At 37.8% G+C, this 19,135-nt stretch overlaps 1 protein-coding gene and 1 long non-coding RNA gene across 22 annotated transcripts in view; one reads left to right on the top strand and one right to left on the bottom strand.

The window, feature by feature from the left end:
- ZNF215 (zinc finger protein 215) overlaps positions 1-16,340 on the bottom strand; it is a 67,998-nt gene extending 51,658 nt beyond the window's left edge. For 5 of the 19 annotated variants that reach the window (XR_002957191.2, XM_024448683.2, NM_013250.4 and 2 more), the window contains exons 1-4: positions 16,081-16,340; positions 14,959-15,104; positions 10,094-10,672; positions 1,113-1,195 (exon numbers count right to left, since the gene is read on the bottom strand). Coding sequence is in view for 11 of the 19 variants with exons in the window: in XM_024448683.2 (XP_024304451.1) it covers positions 1,113-1,195; positions 10,094-10,493 (483 nt within the window). In the remaining 8 variants the exon portion in view is untranslated. Of the gene's footprint in view, positions 1-1,112; positions 1,196-10,093; positions 15,105-15,685; positions 15,804-15,904 lie in introns of those variants that run through there. The other 14 variants (NR_149005.2, XM_047427572.1, XM_047427566.1 and 11 more) reach the window with 7 other exon arrangements.
- The window catches only part of LOC107984019 (uncharacterized), a 49,559-nt gene that overhangs the window by 4,706 nt on the left and 25,718 nt on the right, over positions 1-19,135 (top strand). The window contains exons 1-3 of one of the 3 annotated variants that reach the window (XR_007062575.1): positions 2,751-2,841; positions 15,604-16,414; positions 18,191-18,268. This is a non-coding gene — a long non-coding RNA (uncharacterized LOC107984019). Of the gene's footprint in view, positions 1-2,750; positions 2,842-15,603; positions 16,950-18,190; positions 18,269-19,135 lie in introns of those variants that run through there. The other 2 variants (XR_001748111.2, XR_001748112.3) reach the window with 2 other exon arrangements.

The following is a 19,135-nucleotide window of genomic DNA, read 5'->3' as shown; positions in this document are numbered from 1 at the left end:
TACAAATAATTTACCTAAAAGGAGTTCAAAACAGCAAGAGTTTGTGGTAGTTCTAAGAGAGATTTGTAATGAAAATGTAGGCTCTGCTGGAAGGAGAGGTAGGGCATTTTCTTTAATTAAGAAATGCTGCCTGATAACTCTTATCATTTGGGACTCACAGTTTAATGTCACTCATCAAATGGGCAAGATTGCCTGACTGCCCAAAGTAGCCTCCCTACTAATCAGTTACTACTGCATTATTTTCTGTGTAATTATTATTACTATCTACAATTACCTTATTTGCTTGTATTTGCCTGTATACGTCTACTAGAATGTGATCTTCACAAGGCTGGGATTTCGTTTATCAATCATATTTTCAGCCCTCAGAACAGTATCTGGCATATTATGCACTACATAAATATTGGCTAATAAATTCCCTCCTGTATCACACCATCAATTATTCCACTTCTCTCTCCAGCATCCTCAACCTTGTCTTTATTGGCACCTTCAATCACACTGAAATATATAAACATCTTCCTTTCCTCTCCTTCAAGCCAGTCTTTATGAATAAGTTGTCTGCATTAATTTTGTCTGCTTCCTCACTTCCTCTTTCCTCAACACACCACAGTCTGGCTTAGATTCCAGTGCATTTTAGTATCTCCTTAAGTGAACAGACACTACTTGGGCTGTATTATTTTGACCCTTTAAAGCATTTCTCCCTTAAATATTCTTACCCCTTGGTCTCAGTGACATCATTTTCCTGGTTTTCCCCTACATCTTTTGGTCCTGTCTTTTTAGTATGCTTTGAGGTTTCTTCTACTCTTGCCTAGTAAGCGACATTGCTCTGGATTCTACTCTTGAGGCTTAATTCTCAACATTTTCTGAGTAGGCTCTACATCTATAGTGTCTACAGATAAAATAGAAACTATATTATTGACGGAACAGATACACAGAGACTATATGGCTAACAGTGTATCACCAACTAAAATAGGTCCAGTGTCCTGTGGGAAAATAAAAGTCTCATGTTCTTGGATGGAACCATGTTTGGCACAAGTTCAAAGATCAAAAAATTGAAAGCAGGTAATACTAAAAATGAGCATATGTGTTCAGTAAAGACTAGAATCCTAATTCACCTGTGGTTTGCCTGTTCGTGAGCCAGCTTTCATTTTCTCCTTGATGCTCCCCATCTGCAGGGCAGAGTCCTTGCAGGGCATATCTGAGGAAGATGAAGGAAAATATTAGGGAGACAAGTTTTGCCCTGGAGCAACTTCTAATAATTATAGTTGTTTTAATATGATATTCACAGGAATTATCCATAGAACTTTGAAAAAAATAATGTCAGGCCCTGCCAGCAATCACAATCTTCAAAGGTCAGGCCTAGATCTTGTATTTTTAAAATATTTTAAATGTGATTCTGATATGCTACCATGGGCTGAGATCTACTGAATCAGAAAGAGGGACAAAATAATATTTTCAGACCTCATCTATGTTTATAGCAGATTCCAAAAAATAACTAATTCTGTCATAACTAAAGCCTAACTACAGCGTAGCCATCACAGGCTGTAATTCTACTTGGAGCTTATAATATTTTATCCAACCAATCCCTTCTTCAAACACTCCAGAGAGAATTCTATCCAAGGATTGTTTTCCTGTAAGTTGCTCTGTGCTTACTATACATAGACCTAAGCAACCTGTCCACCTTGAACTATTGCTTCTTTCAAAACATAAAATTCTGAGGGACAACCAATTCTCTTATCCAGCCATTCAGTGAGAAATTTATCCAAGGGCCACTCTGGAAGATTCATGAGTTACATCAGTGATCCTCAAGTGTCACACTGGTCTGTGAAGTTTTCACTGATTCACGGTGAAATAAAGAGTAGAAACAATGTAGTAAGTTTGTTAAAACATTACATTTATTCAATATAAGGGACTTTCTTTTGATGTTAAAATGTCTTCTAATATGTTAATTATTGATTTAAAAAATGTTTTTACTTAAAAAGAGTTGGCAAATCTGGATCATCTCCACCCCCATTTTTAAAACTTTTAATGAGCTTTGAAACCCCCCAAAAATCTTAAAACCATGCAGTTACATCATAATCAGCATTAATTCTCTATTATAAATGTATAATTGGGTTCAACAATTTAAACAACTGCATAGGGACTTCTTAAAACACATCAGGGCAGGCCTGGTGGCTCACACCTGCAATCCCAACACTTTGGGAGGCCATGGTGGGAGGAATGCTTGAGCCTAGCATCCAAGACCAGCCTAAGCAACATAGGGAGATTCCTTCTCTGCAAATAATAATCATAATAAATTAGCCAGGTGTGGTGGTGTGTGCCTGTGGTCTCATCTACTTGGGAGGCTGACGCAGGAGGATTTCCCGAGCCTAGGAGGTAGAGGCTGCAGTGAGTGGTGTTCGCACCACCACACTCCAGCCCTGGTGACAGAATGAGACCCTGTCTGAATAAAAGCAAACAAAAATCCAAATTTCTCAGCAACATACCGTGTGAATGCTGCAAATATTATGGTCTGTTAACTTTTTTTTTTTTTTTTTTAAAGAGGGTCTTGCTCAGTCCAGGCTGGAGTGCAGTATGGCACAGTCACACCTCACTACAATCTCAAACTCCTGGCCTCAACCAATCCTCCTGCCTCAGCCTCTTGAATAGCAAGGACTACAGGCATGTGCCACCATACTTGGATAATGTTTTTTTTTTCTTTTTTTTTCTTTAGAGACAGGGTCTTTCAATGCTGCCCAGGCTGGTGTTGAACTCTTGGCCTCAAGTGATCCTCCTGCCTCAGCCTCCCAAAGAGTTGGGATTACAAGTGTGAGCCTGGTCCTGAGATCTGTTAACTTTATTCAGGTCTGTACACTTTGTGGAATGTCAATCTGCTCAATTCCATAATCTTTAGGACAATCAATACAATGTTGTTCCTTGTTCTTGACATTCTTGGAAATACCTGAGGTATCTTGGAAAGGTGCAAATCTCTCCAATCAGCTATCCTATTTATTGCTCTCTCTGAATGTCCTTTTCTTCCCTTACTTCTTCCCTGCTGACCTCCCCTTCTTGAAGTTTTACCGTCATGTTTTCTGAAACCCTCATTCCATTCAAAGAAAAATCTATATACATTCTCAAGTTCTTTACAGACTCTTCCTTCTCCCTTGCTAAATGGATCTTGGCATCATCAAAGGCACCTTTTTCTATCCTCTAAGCACTACGATCTTGGAAATTGTTCTGATCTACTTGTACCTCCCTTCCACTTCCTAGTATTTTCTCTCATGCAAAAATATTTCTTACTAGTCTATGCCATTTAGCTATACTGTTCTTGATGCTGTAATATATTAAGCTATTGCGCATTCATTTTTTCAACACATATTTACTATCTCCTATGTGCGAGATACACAAATACCTGCCCTCAGAGAGCCTAATGTACTGTGAATGACCAACACTAAAGTAATTGTACTAGGCCAATAAAAACTTCAGTTACTTGCTTCACATTGTTGCTTTTCACCCCAAATCCTGACAGTCTTTTAATAGGTTGCTTCAACACTGACACAGACACCCCTTCCAGCAACCCAGACTGATAGACCTTTGACTTTCTTATCTCTAATGACCATCAGCAAACAATCTACTTCCTTGCTCATACTCTGGTCTTTATTACTTAGAACTATCCTGCCATGAGTATAAAATTGGATAAATCAATAGCTAAATGCATCTTCCTATCCTTTCAATTTTTACTTCCTTGCTTTTTGTATATTCTCCAACTTTTATCAGAGTCCCATTACACTACATTGATTCTTTAATTTTCTCCCATTCTATCGTGGCTCTAGTGAAGTCACTTCATTCTCTATTAAGCTTAGAATTTAAGTTTAAAAAAAGGCAAAATTCACATAATATAAAATTCACCATATTAGCTATTTTAAAGAATACAATCCAGTGGTTTTTAATACATTCATAATGTTGTACAATGATCACCACTATCTAATTCCAGAACATTTTCATTACCAAGAAAGAGCCCCATATTAATTTAGGAGTCACTCTCATACACACTCCCTTTCCTTATACTGTCTCTACGAATTTGCCTATTCTGGACATTCCACATAAATTGAATCATATAGTATGTGACCTTTTGGGTCTGACTTCTCTCACTTAGCATGTTTTGGAGGTCCATCCATTTTTTTTTTAACATGTATCAGTACTTCATTCTTTTTTATGGCAGAATAATACTCCACTGTATGTATATAGCAAAGTTTATTCATTCATTAGTTGATGGACATCTGGGTTGTTTCCACTTTTTAATGTGAATATGTGTCTTCAATTTTCTGGGGTATATGGTAATTCTATGTTTAATTTTTTGAGGAACCACCAAAGTGTTTTTCACAGTGGCTGAACCAGTTTATATTCCCAACAACGATATACAATTCCAAACAATTTCTCCACATCCTAGCTAACCCTATTCGTTTTCCTTTTGTAATTATTATAGCCATCCTAGTGGGTGTTGTTATGGTTTTGAGTTGCAATTCTCTAATGACTAATGATCCTGAACATTTATTCCTATACTTTTTGGCCATTTGTATATCTTCTTTGGAGAAATATCTATTCAAGTCCTTTGTCCATTTAAAAAACTGTTCCTTATCTTGTTATTGAATTGTAAGAGTTCTTTATATTTTCCTGATATTGGACCCTTATCAGATATATGATTTTCAAAATGTTTTTTCTCATTCTGTAGGTTTTTCGCTGCCTTGATGGTATCTTTTGATGCACAAAAGTGTTAATTTTGATGGTCTAATTTATCTATTTTTTCTTTTGTTGCTTGTATCTTTGGTGTCATAGCTAAGCATTGATTACCAAATTTAAGGTGATGAAGAGTTATTTCTATATTTTCTTCTCAGAATTTTATGATTTTGGCTCTTATATTTAGACAATTGACCCATCTTGAGTTAATTTTTGTACATGATATGAGGTAAGGCCCCTACTCCAATCTTTTGCATATGGAAATCAAGGGGTCCCAGCAATATTTGTTGAAAAACTATTATTTTCTCATTTAATGCCTTGACACCCTTGTCAAAAATTAACTGGACATAGATGTATGAGTTTATTTCTGGACTCTTAATTCTATTCCAGTACGACATAGCTTTGATTATTGCAGCTTTTTAGTGAGTTTTGAAATTGAGAAGTATACATTCTAAAACTATCTTCTTTATGAAGGCAGTTTGACTATCTTGGGTCCTTTCCAATTCCTTATGAATTTTAGGATCAGCTTGTCCATTTCTGACAAAAAAAAAAAAAAAAAAAAAAAAGCAGCTGAGATTTTGATAGGGATTGCATTTGAATCTGTAGATTGCTTTGGGGGAGTGTTATCTTTATGATATTAAGTTTTCCAATACATGAACGCAGGATTTACTTAGGTCTTTAATTTCAACAATGGTTTGTACTTTTCAGCAGACAAGTCCTACACCTCTATTTTTGACATATTATAAATGAAATTATTTTCTTGGTTTCTTTTAAGGGTTGTTCATTGCTATAGGCACATAACCTATTTTTGTTGACTTTGCATCCTGCAACTTTGAGTTTATTAGGTCTAATAGTTTTTTACTGGGTTCTTTAGGATTTTGGATATATAAGAGTATAACATCTGCCAGTAGAGATAGTTTTACTTCTTCCTTTCCAATCATGATACCTTTTCTTTTTTTCTTGCCTAATTGCACTAGCTAGAACGTTTAGTATGACATTGAATAGAAGTGGCAAGAGTGGACATTCTTGTCTTGTTCCTGATTCTAAGAACAAAGCTTTCACTTTTTCATCAAGTTTATCAAGTACAATGTTAACTGTGGGTTTTTCATAAATGTCCTTTGTCAGGCTGAGTGAGTTCACTTCTAGTCCTTTTTTTTTTTTTGGTCATAAAAGGGCATTGGATTTTGTCAGATGCTTTTTCTGCATCAATTGAGATAATCGTGTAATTTTTCCCCTTTCACTGTATTAATATGATGTACAGCACTGATATATTTTCATTTGTTGAACCATACTTGCATTTCTGGGATCAATCCCACTAAGTCATTTTGTATAGTCCTCTTAAAACGCTATTGGATTTGGTTTGCCATTTTTCTTTTGTTGTGATGTCTTTGTCTGGCTTTGGCATCAGATTAATACTTGCCTCACAGGATAACTTAAGAAGTGTTCCTCCTATTTTTTGGAAGAGTTTGAGAATACTGGTGTTAATTTTTCAAAAGTGTAGTAGAATTTACCAGTGAAGCCATATCATCTTTGAGTTTTCTTTGTTGAAAGTTTAAAAATAACTAAACCAGTCTTTTGTTATTGCTGAGTTGAGTTCAGATTTTCTATTTCTTCTTCAGTCAGTTTTGGTCATTTGTGTTTTTGGAATTTGTGAATTTCATCTAAGTGCATCTAATTTGTTGGCATTTAATTGCTCCTAGTATTCTCTTATGAGCCCTTTCATTTTATGCAAAGTCAGTAGTATTGTCCCCACTTTTCCTGATGTTAGTAATTTGAGTCCTTTTTTTCTTGATCAGTGTAGCTAAACCTTTGTCAGTTTTGCTGATCTTTTCAAAGTACCAACTTTCAGTTTTGTTGGTTCTATTATTTTTGTGGGCTCCACATCATTTATCTTTGTTCTAATATTTATTTTCTTTCTTCATCTGGCTTTTAGGTTTTCTTTTTCTAGTTCCTTCAGGTGGAGGGTTGAGATCTTTTTAATGTAGGCATTTATAGCTACAATTTGAGCCATGCCTTCACTGTATGTCATAAGTTTTGGTATGTTGTATTTTTGTTTCCATTTCTCAAAATATTTTTTCATTTCCTTTGTGCTTTCCTTTTTGACCCACTGATTATGTGACTGTTAATTTCCACTTATCTGTGAATTATCCAGATTTCCTTCTGTTACTGATTTCTAATTCTGCTATAGTTGGAAAAGATACTTCATGAGATGTCAATCTACTTAAATGTACTGAAACATGTTTTTTAGTCTAACATTTGGTCTATCCTGGAGACTATTCCATGTATACTTGAAAATGTATCTTCTGTTGTTTTTTGGGTAGAACGCTCTGTATATTTGTTAGTTCAAGTCAGTTTATGGTGTTTCTCAAGTCTTCTATTTCCTTTTTAATCTTTTTTTCTAGTATTTCTGTTAATAAAAGTGGAGTGAAATCTCCAATTATTATTCTTGATCTATTTCTCTTTCACTTCTGTATTTGCTTCATATATTTTGAGGCTCTAACTGTTGTAGTTATTGCTCATTTAGTAACTTTTGAACTAATTTTGTAAACTCTATATGCTATGTTATGTTTACCTGCATGAATCTGTTCCCTCAGCTTACTGGTCAGCTTGTGATACCACAGAGATTTCCTTAAATGCCTTGAAACATAAAAACAATATCAAAAACAAAAACCATCAACTGGTCTCTGCAGATGCATTGTGTGTATTAGGGCACACTCACTCAGACACTTTTAACTCTATGTTATTCTTCACTTCTTTCTTGTGTAGCACTTGAAGGTCAGCTAGAGATAAGAGTTAGGGCTTTCTCAGGTCTTTCTGAACATGTCTTCAATCTTCCAGATTTTCAGATATACATGCGAGCTTTCAAAATCCCTTATTCCCTCAAAGCATATCATTCTCCAGCATCCCAACTGTTATTTATTATCTCAGACAGCAGTAGCTAATACATTTTCCATGAAATGTTTTTGAAAAATACCCCCAGGTAGCCACCTCAGTACTGAGTGACTTTTGAACTAGGTAAAATAAAGGCAAGCCCTATGAGCAGGTTTTTCAGAGAGCCACCAGACAAACCAAAGAAACAACCAAAAGCCTTTCTTCAGTTCTGTATTACCCTGCAACCTCTCATTTGCCTTTTCTGCTAGATTTCTCAAGAATAGGCTATAATGATCACATTCCCACCTCATACCTATTTTTTTTAACCCACATGATGGGCAGAATATCAGCCCACAAAGATATCCATGTCTTAGTCCTTGGATACATAGCAAGAGAGACTCTGCAGATGTGATTAAAGTCAAGGACCTTAAGATGAGGGAGATCATCCTGAATTATTCAGGTGATCACAACCTAATTACATGAATCCTGAAAAGTGAGGAACCTTTTCCAGTGTGGTGAGACAGTGAGAAGCACCATGAGTGAGCAAGAGCTATGACAACAGAATAAAGTATTAGAGATGTGGCAGTGTGAAAAGGACTTGGCCCATTGTTGCTAGCTTTGAAGACAGGGGAAGGGGAACATAAGCCCCAGAAAGAAAACGGTACCACCACTACCTTGATTTTAGCTGAGGGAGACCCGTGTTGGATCTCTGATGTACAGGCTTGTAGAATAATATATTCATGTTGTTTTAAGCCACCAAGTTTGTGGTAATTTATTATAGTAGCAATAGAAAACTAATATAACTCACTACAAATAAGCACCCCTCAAATCTGCTAAAACTGCTCAAACTAAACCTCAAAATTCCTCCTAATCAACAATTTCAATGAATTATTTTTAAAATTCATCTTAATGTGACCTTTTTGTTATACCATTGTTGAACATTAACTTCTTGAAAATTTCTCCTTTCTTAACTCAGATACCAATCTTTTCTGGTTCTCTGATTTCCTACATTATTACTTTCCAGGCTGCTTATCAAGCTTCTCTTCTTTTGCTCATTAAGAAAATTTTTAGACGAAGACTAAATATAACCACAATACCAATATAATCACTGTCCCCAATCGATAATTCCTCATCAGATATCCAGTTCATGGCCTCATGTCTTATAAGGTCCACACATTCACATGATTTTAAAAACTTAAAAGATGTATAACTAATCTCTATATCACTTTGCCATACTCCTCCCTATTCCCTTAAAAACTGGACTGTCTTATAGTTTCCCAGTTTGGATTTTACACATGGTATTATCACGGTATAGTTTAACATGTTCCACTATCCTCTGTATTTCCTGTAACTGATAGCTAGACCAGCTTTTTTTTTTTTTTTTTTTGAGATGGAGTCTAGCACTGTGGCCCAGGCTGGAGTGCAGTGGCGCCATCTCGGCTCACTGCAAGCTCCGCCTCCTGGGTTCACGCCATTCTCCTGCCTCAGCCTCCCTAGTAGCTGGGACTACAGGTGCCCGCCCACCACCATGCCCGGCTAATTTTTTTTTTGTATTTTTAGTAGAGACGGGGTTTCACCATGTTAGCCAGGATGGTCTCGATCTCCTGACCTCGTGATCTGCCCGCCTCGGCCTCCCAAAGTGCTGGGATTACAGGCGTGAGCCACCGCACCTGGCCTAGACCAGCTCTTCAATATTGATGCTCCCTAAGGATTTGTATTTCTCCTACTTCTGTGTTCATACATATAAGCTTCCAAATCTTCTCTTTCTGAACACTGAAGCTTGTTAACTATATATTGGTTTATTCATTGTGAAAGTCCCACAGGGACCTCAAATAAAACTTGCCACATAATTAAAGTATTACACCTTCTCCCCCACTCCCAAATTCCACTCATGCAGGCCAGTACATGTGAATTTATGTCAAAAGGTATCCTATTTATACGTTTATAATTCCTCTAGGTTCAAACTCCTGCTTTCCCAAAGCTCATTCTCTAACACCTAATCTATCACAATAGTCTAACTGGTTTTCCTATTTTCAGAACCCTCAGATCTCTCTCCTTTACAGGAGATGTCGGTAAACTTTTTCTGTAAAGGGGCAGATAACAAATATTTTAGACTTTGCAGACAGTACAGTCTCTGCTACAAGTACCAACTCTGGTCATAGCACAAAAGCAATCATAGACAAAATGAAAATGGACATAGCTATGTTCCAATAATACTTTATTTTAAAAAATATTTGGCCTGTGTGCCATATTTTGCCAACTCCTGCTCTAAATTGATGTCAACATAATATTTTTAACTGGCAAATCAAACTGTCTCACTCCCCTACCCAATCTGTGAGATCTAATTCTCTATTTCTATTACCTACAGAATAAAGTCAAGGCTTCCTAATAGAGTAATATAAAGTCCTTCAAGATCTGGCACTTGATACTCTCTGGCCTCAAAAAAAGATAATTTCTCTTTACATGGGAAAGGTCAAGTATTTTACCTCTAATTTCTTTATATTCTTACCTTCATCTTCAAGCATTTCAATCACATCTTCTATGAGGGTCACCATATCTTTACTGTTGTTTGGATGTTGTAAATTCACCCAAGTCCTGACTTCTTCAGGCAGGATTGCCAGGAATTGTTCCAGCACCAACAGTTCTATAATCTGCTTCTTTGTATGAATCTCTGGTCTCAGCCATTGAAGACAGAGCTCCCAGAGTTGGCTCAGGGCTTCATGGGGCCCAGACACTTTCAAATACTGGAAATGTCTGAACTTTTGACGAGATGCCTCAGAGTCATGTGTCTCCACGACGGGGTTGGTTTCCTGCTGCCAAGACATATCTGCTCTCAGAACCTCTCTTTGTTCACGTAGAGACAGGTTTCGAGGTTTTGAGATAGCCATCAACTTGCTCAGAGGCTGCATCTTCCTAAATAGAACTCCCACAGTAGTTCAAATCCGCCTTACTAGATTGCAGTAATTCTCAGGCTTGAGCTAAGCACCTGTGTACTATATGCAGTGTGATTTAAGCCAAGTTATTTCACGGTAAGGAGGAAAGTTCCAGAAACTTTAGACACAAAGCCAATATTCAGGTACCTGAGCAACTGAAAAAAGATAGAAATTAACCCACAGGGAACAAACATCTATTAGCATAGTGTTAAAACACAAATATTATTAAAATTGCCTAAGAAAAATGCATATTATGGATTCTCCTATTTTTATTTTCCTTTCTTAGAACTAGAAAATATGCTTTCCCTTTCTCCTAACCAGTTTCCCAAAGGACAAAGAAACACACACGAATAGACATCCCAAAACAAATGATGAAGAGTCCTTTGATTTAAAAAAACTTCGTAATTGAATTACAATTAGATTTATTCTATATCAGGTAGCAAATCATTTTTACCTTAAAATTAAGCAACACAAATCTTCAGGTAGGATATTAAGGTTTCAGAATAGATATGACTGAAAAACCTTACCCAAAGTTCTCTTTAAAATGCCAATAAAATTCTATGAGTAAAACTGACAATAGCATTAGAAATTAAGGTAAGAGACAATTGTTTAAAATATACTAGAATAATATCCATAAACTATTATTAGGAATAAATCAAAAAGTGGATTCCCAGACTACAATGAAAAGTTTATATTTGTTAGGAGTTACTATGGAGAATTACGCAATGCCCACCAGGGATGTCTTAGGCGCAACTGAACATTTAGACTTGCAAGACTACCATAGGTCATATTTGGCACCAATTTACTCAGAAGGCAAAAAACAACTTGCTAGCAGAAGAATAATATGCACTTTTCTTCAGTGTGAGTCTTTGCAGAATTTAGCTCAAGTACAGGGAGATGAGACCCATAAACGTGGTGTAGGAAACACTCTGACTCAAAAGAATTCCCCCAGGAGCCAGTATCTCTCATAACAACTGAGCACAACTTTATGGGTTGTCTCAAAGAGCCTGCCAAATTATAGGAGTCACTACATTCAGGGATGTCCAGATACAACTTTCTATTTGATTTACAGTTCTCCAAGTCCAGATGCAATTTACTATTCAGGTGTCACTTTTATTATGATTATCTAAGGTCAGTGGTTCTCAGTCAGGATATTTTACCAACAGGGGAAATCTGGCAATGTTTAGAAACAGTTTTGACTGTTACAGCTAGAGATTGTACCTGGCCTCTAGGAAGTCAAAGCCAGGGATGTTGTTAAATATCCTACACAGGATAGTCCCCTATAGCAAAGAATTACCCAGTCCAAATCGTCAATAATTCCAAGGTTTAAAAACTCTGCTATAGGCAATATATAAATGAGACTACATACTTTGGAGTCATAGATACATGAGTTTCTATCCCAGATGTACTAGTTACTATATGTATAAAGCTGAGCAAATTATATTAACCCAAGTTTGCATTCTCAACTGTAAAATGGATATAAAAATATCTGATCAAATTATAGGGATTAAAAGAGCTATCATCTCATTTCTTGACACACAGTAAGCTCTCAGTAGATCATATGCACACATGTATGTTACAATGTTAGATCTTACATATTGGCCAAAAGTTTGTGTGACCTTGTCCATGGCAATGCCTGCCTGCACAGATCATTCAACATTCAAATAAGTATCAGCGCACAGAGTAGGGGAAGGATACACAGAACTATGAAAAGACAGTTTAATGGCAGATGAGTGGTAAGAGCCAGGTTTCTCAATGTTTGACTAGAAATTTACAGAAAACCAAGGGAAGGAGACTAGAATGATCCATGTGATAATGGATTAGAGTTGGAGACCTAAGTGTGAACTTGTATTTGGCTGAATTAGATGAAGATGGTTACATAAATATTTACAGATATGTATATATACATAAATTAGTATAAACACACATTTCCTTGCTGTGTTGGCTAAGTAGGTCTAGAAGCAAGAACAGCCCAGCAGCAAAAGAATAATTAGCTCCCAGATCTTGGTTTCTAATACCATTCTCCAATAGGAACCAGGATTTCTTGGAGAAATGGTTGATTCTAGGACTGAGGCTCATGCAACATAAGCATGGGGCATCTTGTACTGCCAGAAAGTAAAGAAATGCTCAAAAAATTAAAAAAAAAAAAAAGAAACTGAAACATTTATTGGGGCACATCAAAGGTACACAGGAGCCAAATGAAAGAGCTCCTTATGGCCAAATCTGGAACAATATAAGCAACAGAATATTAGATAATTCAAACAATTAAATTAATACTCATAAGGCAGTGATATAAATGGCAACTTATTAATACATGGGGGAGAGTAAACAAATCTCCTATGCAGAAAAATTCCAAATAATTTATGCAAATTCTCAGCCATTCACGAGGTACAGCATAACTCCCCACCCCTTGAGTATGGGCTCTGCATAGGAATTTCCTGCCAAAGAGGAAATGCTGTGGGGTGGGGGGAGGGGGAAGGTAAATTTACAGTGGAAAAACCTGACAAATACCATCTCAGCCAGGTGATCAAGATTAACATTAATAGCGATAAGTCATGTTGGCAGTATGTAGCCTCGAGACAATGTGATAAAATGGCATTTTGCCTCTGTGATCTTCCTGCTCTAAACCCATAACCCCAGTCTAATAATGAGAAAAACATCAAATTCCAACAGATGGTTCTCCATACTTAACCAATACCTCCTCATAATTGTAGCATGATCAGAAACAAGGAATGTCTGAGAAACTGTCACAGCCAAGAGAAGCCTAAGGGGGCATGACAACAGAATGTAATGTGGTATACTGGATGGATTCTACATCAGTAAAAAAGACATTAGGTAAAAATTAAACTTGAATAAAGCATGGACTTTAGTTAATGTAGTATTATTAATTGTAAGAAATGTTCTATACTAATACAAAATGTTACTAATAGGAAAAATTAGTGGAGGGGTATATGGACACTCTGTTGTACTGTCTTCTCTATTTTCCTGTAACTTTATCCAATTTATTTAGAAACTTTTTTTCTCTGTGAATGCAAGCTCCCCAGAGGATTTCCCACAGCAAGTGGAAAGCCACAGAGGCAGGTGCCTTCTGGCTTGAAAGATCCCATCTAGGTTGTCATGGCCAGGGGAGGAAAAGGGTAATGGTGCCTTTCATGGGCTATTCCTGGGTCTCGCGGGATAGAAAATTGCTTCCAGTTGCCCTGAAACAAGTGCTTCCTGTAATGAATCCCTCTGGAGTACTCCTTGACATCTCCCCAAACTCATAACAAAAGACCATCTTTCTCCTCATTCGCAGCTGCCAAGGCCCACCGTCAATACAACAGACTGAAAACCCGCCACAACTGTTGACATCCACGACCCTCCTGATCTGGCCTCATTAGCTCCACTTTTGAGCCACCAGCCAAGAGAGAGCTCTTAAATATGACTGGTGGAATAGTCCTGAAGTAGTATAATTTAGTCCAACAAAAAAATGAACTATGGGCCCAGATACTTTGAAAGTAACATAAATGGAGAAAGAAAAAATAAAAGCTCACAGGCCATATGTCAAAGACAAAACAGAAAAGGCTTTATACTAAAAAGTAAAAATAACAGAGATGTTAATTGCAACAATAAATGTACCGGGTAAAAATTTAAACTCAAACTACATAAAACTCAAAAGACATCCGAAACGAGAACTCCAAAACTAAATGTAAAAGAATTTTTAAAAAATACCAGGCAAACAAAAAATATTCAAGAGTTTAGTGAATTAAAATTATAATGAATTAAAAGCACAAATACATTAGAGGAAACTAAATGATTATAACTCATAATGAAATATAACTCATTAAATGTACAACATACTTGAAACATTTTTGGCAAAATTCTCAGAAAACAAGAAATGAAGTCAACAGTGATACAATAGAAATGGGATATTAGGTAACTTTCTCAGACTCTGACAGATAAAGTCAAAAAAGTAATAGTATAGTGGATATAAATAATATGCTTAGCCTAATAGATAAATAAAACTAGATAAAATGTAGTTTCTATTCAAGCACCTAAGGGAATGTTTACAAAAGCAATTTATTAGGCTACCAAATAGAAAATCCTTGATAAATGGTAAACAAGAGTAGTGGAAACCATATTTATTACTAGAATGCAAAACCAGAAATTAACACCACATAGAAAAAACAATTTCACCTACTTTAAAATTCAAATGTTTGCTTCTAAAAAAAAAGATAAAAGAGAATCAAAAGGACAACTGCAAAGTATCTAAAAACAGTAAAAACATTGTACGTCAAAATCTAAAGCGCACAGCTGAAGCTCCTGATAGGCAATGGAAAAGCCTTACATATAATTAAACAAGAATGAGATGCATTAAATATCCAACTCAGGAAATAAAAAAAAAGCAACAAATATACTGGGAGGTTTGTAGGTGAAAAACACAAATTAATGAATTACTCACTGTAAACAGTTACAGAGCTAGGACAGGGAGAGACGTTCAGGATGGCATGCTGCATTTAGGTAAGATTTCCGAGGTGGAATAGTTTTGATGATAGAGATCCAAGGTGTGACGTGACTGCAAGTAGCTTAAGTGGCAAATGATGAACACTGGAATATACAAAGCCAGGAAATATAACAGTTAAACTCTAAAGTACTGAATAGATGCCTCTGATATAAAGGTGGGATTCAGGATTAAGACACGGAGCCAGTACCACTGTGACGGAGGGACCTGAAGTTGTAGTGGATGGTTAGACTAATATAACCAGGTGGCACCAGTTCTACGGTTTTATGGCCGCAAGGAACTCGAACAGCTGCTAATTATGGAAAAAAGGTACTGTCTGTGAAGAGGGTTATTTCTAATCAAACAGGTTGTAGGTAGGACAGCTGCTTGAGGTAAGAACCACCTGGCGAGAGTAGCTTAGATAAAGAGGAACAGAAAACAGTTTGCAAATAAGTGACTGAATAGAAGTCATTTATGTTAAATGGAGAAAGAATTATTTTAAAATAAGTACGATACTTGGAGGTTTTAATCTTTTAGGGAGGTGGCCAGGAATGACTGGGAAAACAAGGCAATATGAATTAATTAAAACTCCATTGTCTTTCCCAGTTGATTGATCCAGTCACGCTTGGTTTTTCCATGAGGCATCAATACCAGCCATTCCCAAACCAGCTGATCATAACATACTAACCACTCTGCGCGTCTGGAGACTGCCCCTATTGCAGAGTGGAAGAGGCGACAGGAGTGTGGTTAAATCCTTGCTTTAGCGGAGCTGGATCCTGACCCCAGCCGTCCCGCCGCCCACCCCCTCGCCCTCTGTCGCTGCTCTCAACGCTTGTCTTACTTCCGCAGCCCACGTTTCCATCCCTCCCGTCAGCTCGCGCCCTCCTCCAGGTTTTCCGGCACAGACCTTGGAGGGCAGCGTGGAAACTGGGTAACTGCAAGCAAGCTGAGGTAAGCTGCACGTTCCGCATGGACGCCCTCAAGCGTGATTCCCAATTCCAAGACCCCGCGTCCCCACCGCCCGCTGACGAGAACGATACCCGTGAGCACCGCTCCTCTCCAGTGGCCCGTTCAGTCACTCACAAGCGCCAGTTCTCAGAGGAGCCGCGGAATCGCTGTCTTGGACAGTGAAGGGAGCTGGCGTTGGTAATCACGCTGCAACTAGGAATCCCTGACCTCGCCGAACCCTCAACTCACTGCCGGCTCCGAGTTTCATAAATTGCCGCGGAACAACCTCGACGCACTCTTGCGCACGCGCACCAGCTGTGGAAGGAACCCCCTAGGAGCCCCCGCGACCCGGATCGGTGAGGTAGACCAGGCCTTTGCCAGCCCCGTCCCTTTCTGCAGGCCCCGTCCCTTTCTGCAGGCCCCGCCCACGCCGCACACTTGGAACTCTGGCCCTGTGAATGGACTCACGGTGAGCTTCTAGTGGCTTAAAGAAATGAGCGTCATACTTCCGGCGCTGCCTCATCCCGTCCGGGGAAACTAGTCCAAATCGCCTTTCTGTTCCCCACACCCCATTTGTCTGGAATCAAAAAACAATGACAATTTCGACAAGACATTGTCTCTTACATGGTCTTTATTGGTTTATTGGTTCACAGATTCATTCATTCAGTTTTGTATGGAAGTGAGAGGGCTTGCAGTTCGTTGTTCAGTTTTGGCTTGTTAAGACTGAGGTACTTTGTGGCATCTGAGAAGCATTGTCAATTAGGCATTTGGATGTAGGCATTTGGGAATTTAGAGATGTCTGGGGCTAGACCTGTAAAATTTGGGTCAATCTGGGTAGATGGTGATTGATGCTATCCATTGGAATAGGACTGCAGAGAAAGGGACAGAGAGGAAGAGAGAAAATAGAAGGAAATGGGCTGGAATTGGCCCAGGGAACACCAACACCATTGGTTGAGTCAGGAAGGCGGACCTGCAAAAAAGAGAGAGGAGGATCAGCCTGAGAGGTAGGAGGAAATCTGGTGGGTGTGGAGACACAGAGGGAAGGGATGTGTGTGTCACAAAGGAGAGAATGCTTGGTGGCATTAAGTACATGATAATATGATTAGTGCTTGCCTAGAGGCATGTGGACAGTGCTGTAGGAGCAGAGTGAAAGAACTTAAACCAGAGAGAGCTTTATATCTAGGCCAGGAGTGGACTAAGGTAAAACAAGATGGCAACTTTGAACAGCTAGTGACACAAAAAAACAAGGACACACCATATAGTTTCTTTTATTTCTTTTTAAATAGACCTTATTTTTTAGAGCAGTTTTGGATTTACAGTTTTGGAAAAATTGAGAAGGTAATATACAGAGTTACCTTCTACTCCACAACTAGTTTTCCCTGTTATTACCCTCTTAAATTATTATGGTATATTTGTTACAACTAAGAAAATAAAAATAAAATATAAAAATAAAAAATAAAATAACATTGATACATTAAGTCCACAATACTTTATTCAGATTTCTTATTTTCTTTGCTTTTTTCTTTTCTTTTCTTTCTTTCTCTTTCTTTCTTTCCTTTCTTTCTTCTTTCTTTCTTTCTTTCTTTCTTTTTCTCTCTTGCTTGCTTGCTTCTTTTCTTTCTTTCTTCTTTTTTTGACTGGGTCTCACTCTGTCACCCAGGCTGCCAGGCTGGAGTACAGTGGTGTGACAGCTCACTGCAGCCTGGACCTCCCTGAGCTCAAGTGATTCTCCCATCTCAGCCTCCCAAGTAGCTGGAACTACAGGTGCTTGCCACCATGCCTGGCTAATTTTTTTTTAAATTTATTTTTTGTAGAGATGGATTTTTGCCATGTTGTCCAGGCTGGTAAGGACCAGACTTCTTTAGCTGGTTTATTTGTTTTGTTTTTATCTTTTTTCTTTCCTCTGATGCAGGATCCCAACTGGAATATCACATTACATTTAGTTGTCATGTCTCTTTAGGCTCTTCTGGACTGTGACGATTTCTCATACTTTCCTTGTGTTTCCTAACCTTGGCAGTGTTGAGGAGTACTGGTCAAGTATTTTGTATGATCTCCCTCTATTGGGAGTTTTCTGATATTTTTCCTATGATTAGACTGGAGATGAAGGTCACAGAGATAGAGTGCCATTTTTATTATATCATATCACAGGTACATACTATCAACATGACTTATCATTGTTGGTGTTCAATTTGATCGCCTGACTCAGGTTGTGTTTGTCAGAAGACATTTTTTTTCTTTCCAACAGTGGCAATGGATGCAGCAATATTCAGTTTCCAGAATCAGCAGCTCCGGCAGCAGTGTCCTGTGCTGATGGTGTTGGCAGGTAAATCATGCTTCTAGTGCTGAATGGAAGTCTTGTCCTCATAGAGCCAATTCTGTGGTACAATTTTGGTCTGTGGTTCTGGCTACATGACTCGAATACTATTTCAATATTTTTACGTTTAGCTTAAATCATGCTTAGTTTCTGTTGCTTGAAACTAAAAGCCCTGACTGATACGTCATCATTATGATGATTTCTAGGTGTATGTATTAAGTATGTTTTCATTAGAATTTTTTGTCTTTATTTTCCCCTTCCCTCCCTAGTATGTAGTGGTTTCATGCAGACAGCTTTGTGAAGAAGCCCCATTGGCATCTATTTTGGTGGAATGAGTGGGAACATAATTCTCAGTGTGTCAGTAATCCATTGCTGCATACAGACCATTTCAAACTTTAGTGCTTTAAAATAGCAATCATTTTGTTTTACTCAGGAGTGTGTTTGAAATTTGGTCAGATGGGATGGCAGTTATCATTAACACCAATATTTAAGATATGACCATGGGAATGAGTAGCTGTAATCATTGGAGAAGCGAGGATTAAGGAATCTCAGAATGCAAACTATTTGAATATTTCATTCTATGGGAAAATTAAAATAACCAACAACTATAACACAGGAGCAGTATCTTCAGGAGAGTGGCAGTGAGTCAGGGGCTAGAATCTGCAAGGAATGGGTGGGGGAGTAGCCTAAGCATCTAAAATAAAATAAAATGAATAAAACCCCCAGAATCCCACTTTCCTAACCATACCTCATTTCCTCCTTCTCCCTCATGGTAAAACATCTCCAAATGTCTGTTTACATTTTCTTATTTTTCCTCTATTCACTGAAATAGATCTCATCTAGATCATAACCAGCAGCCAAAGTTACCAAATTCAA

Source organism: Homo sapiens, chromosome 11 (assembly GCF_000001405.40).
Source record: "Homo sapiens chromosome 11, GRCh38.p14 Primary Assembly".
Classification (NCBI taxonomy): Eukaryota; Metazoa; Chordata; class Mammalia; order Primates; family Hominidae; genus Homo; species Homo sapiens.
This window is presented reverse-complemented; position numbering and strand designations above follow the sequence as displayed.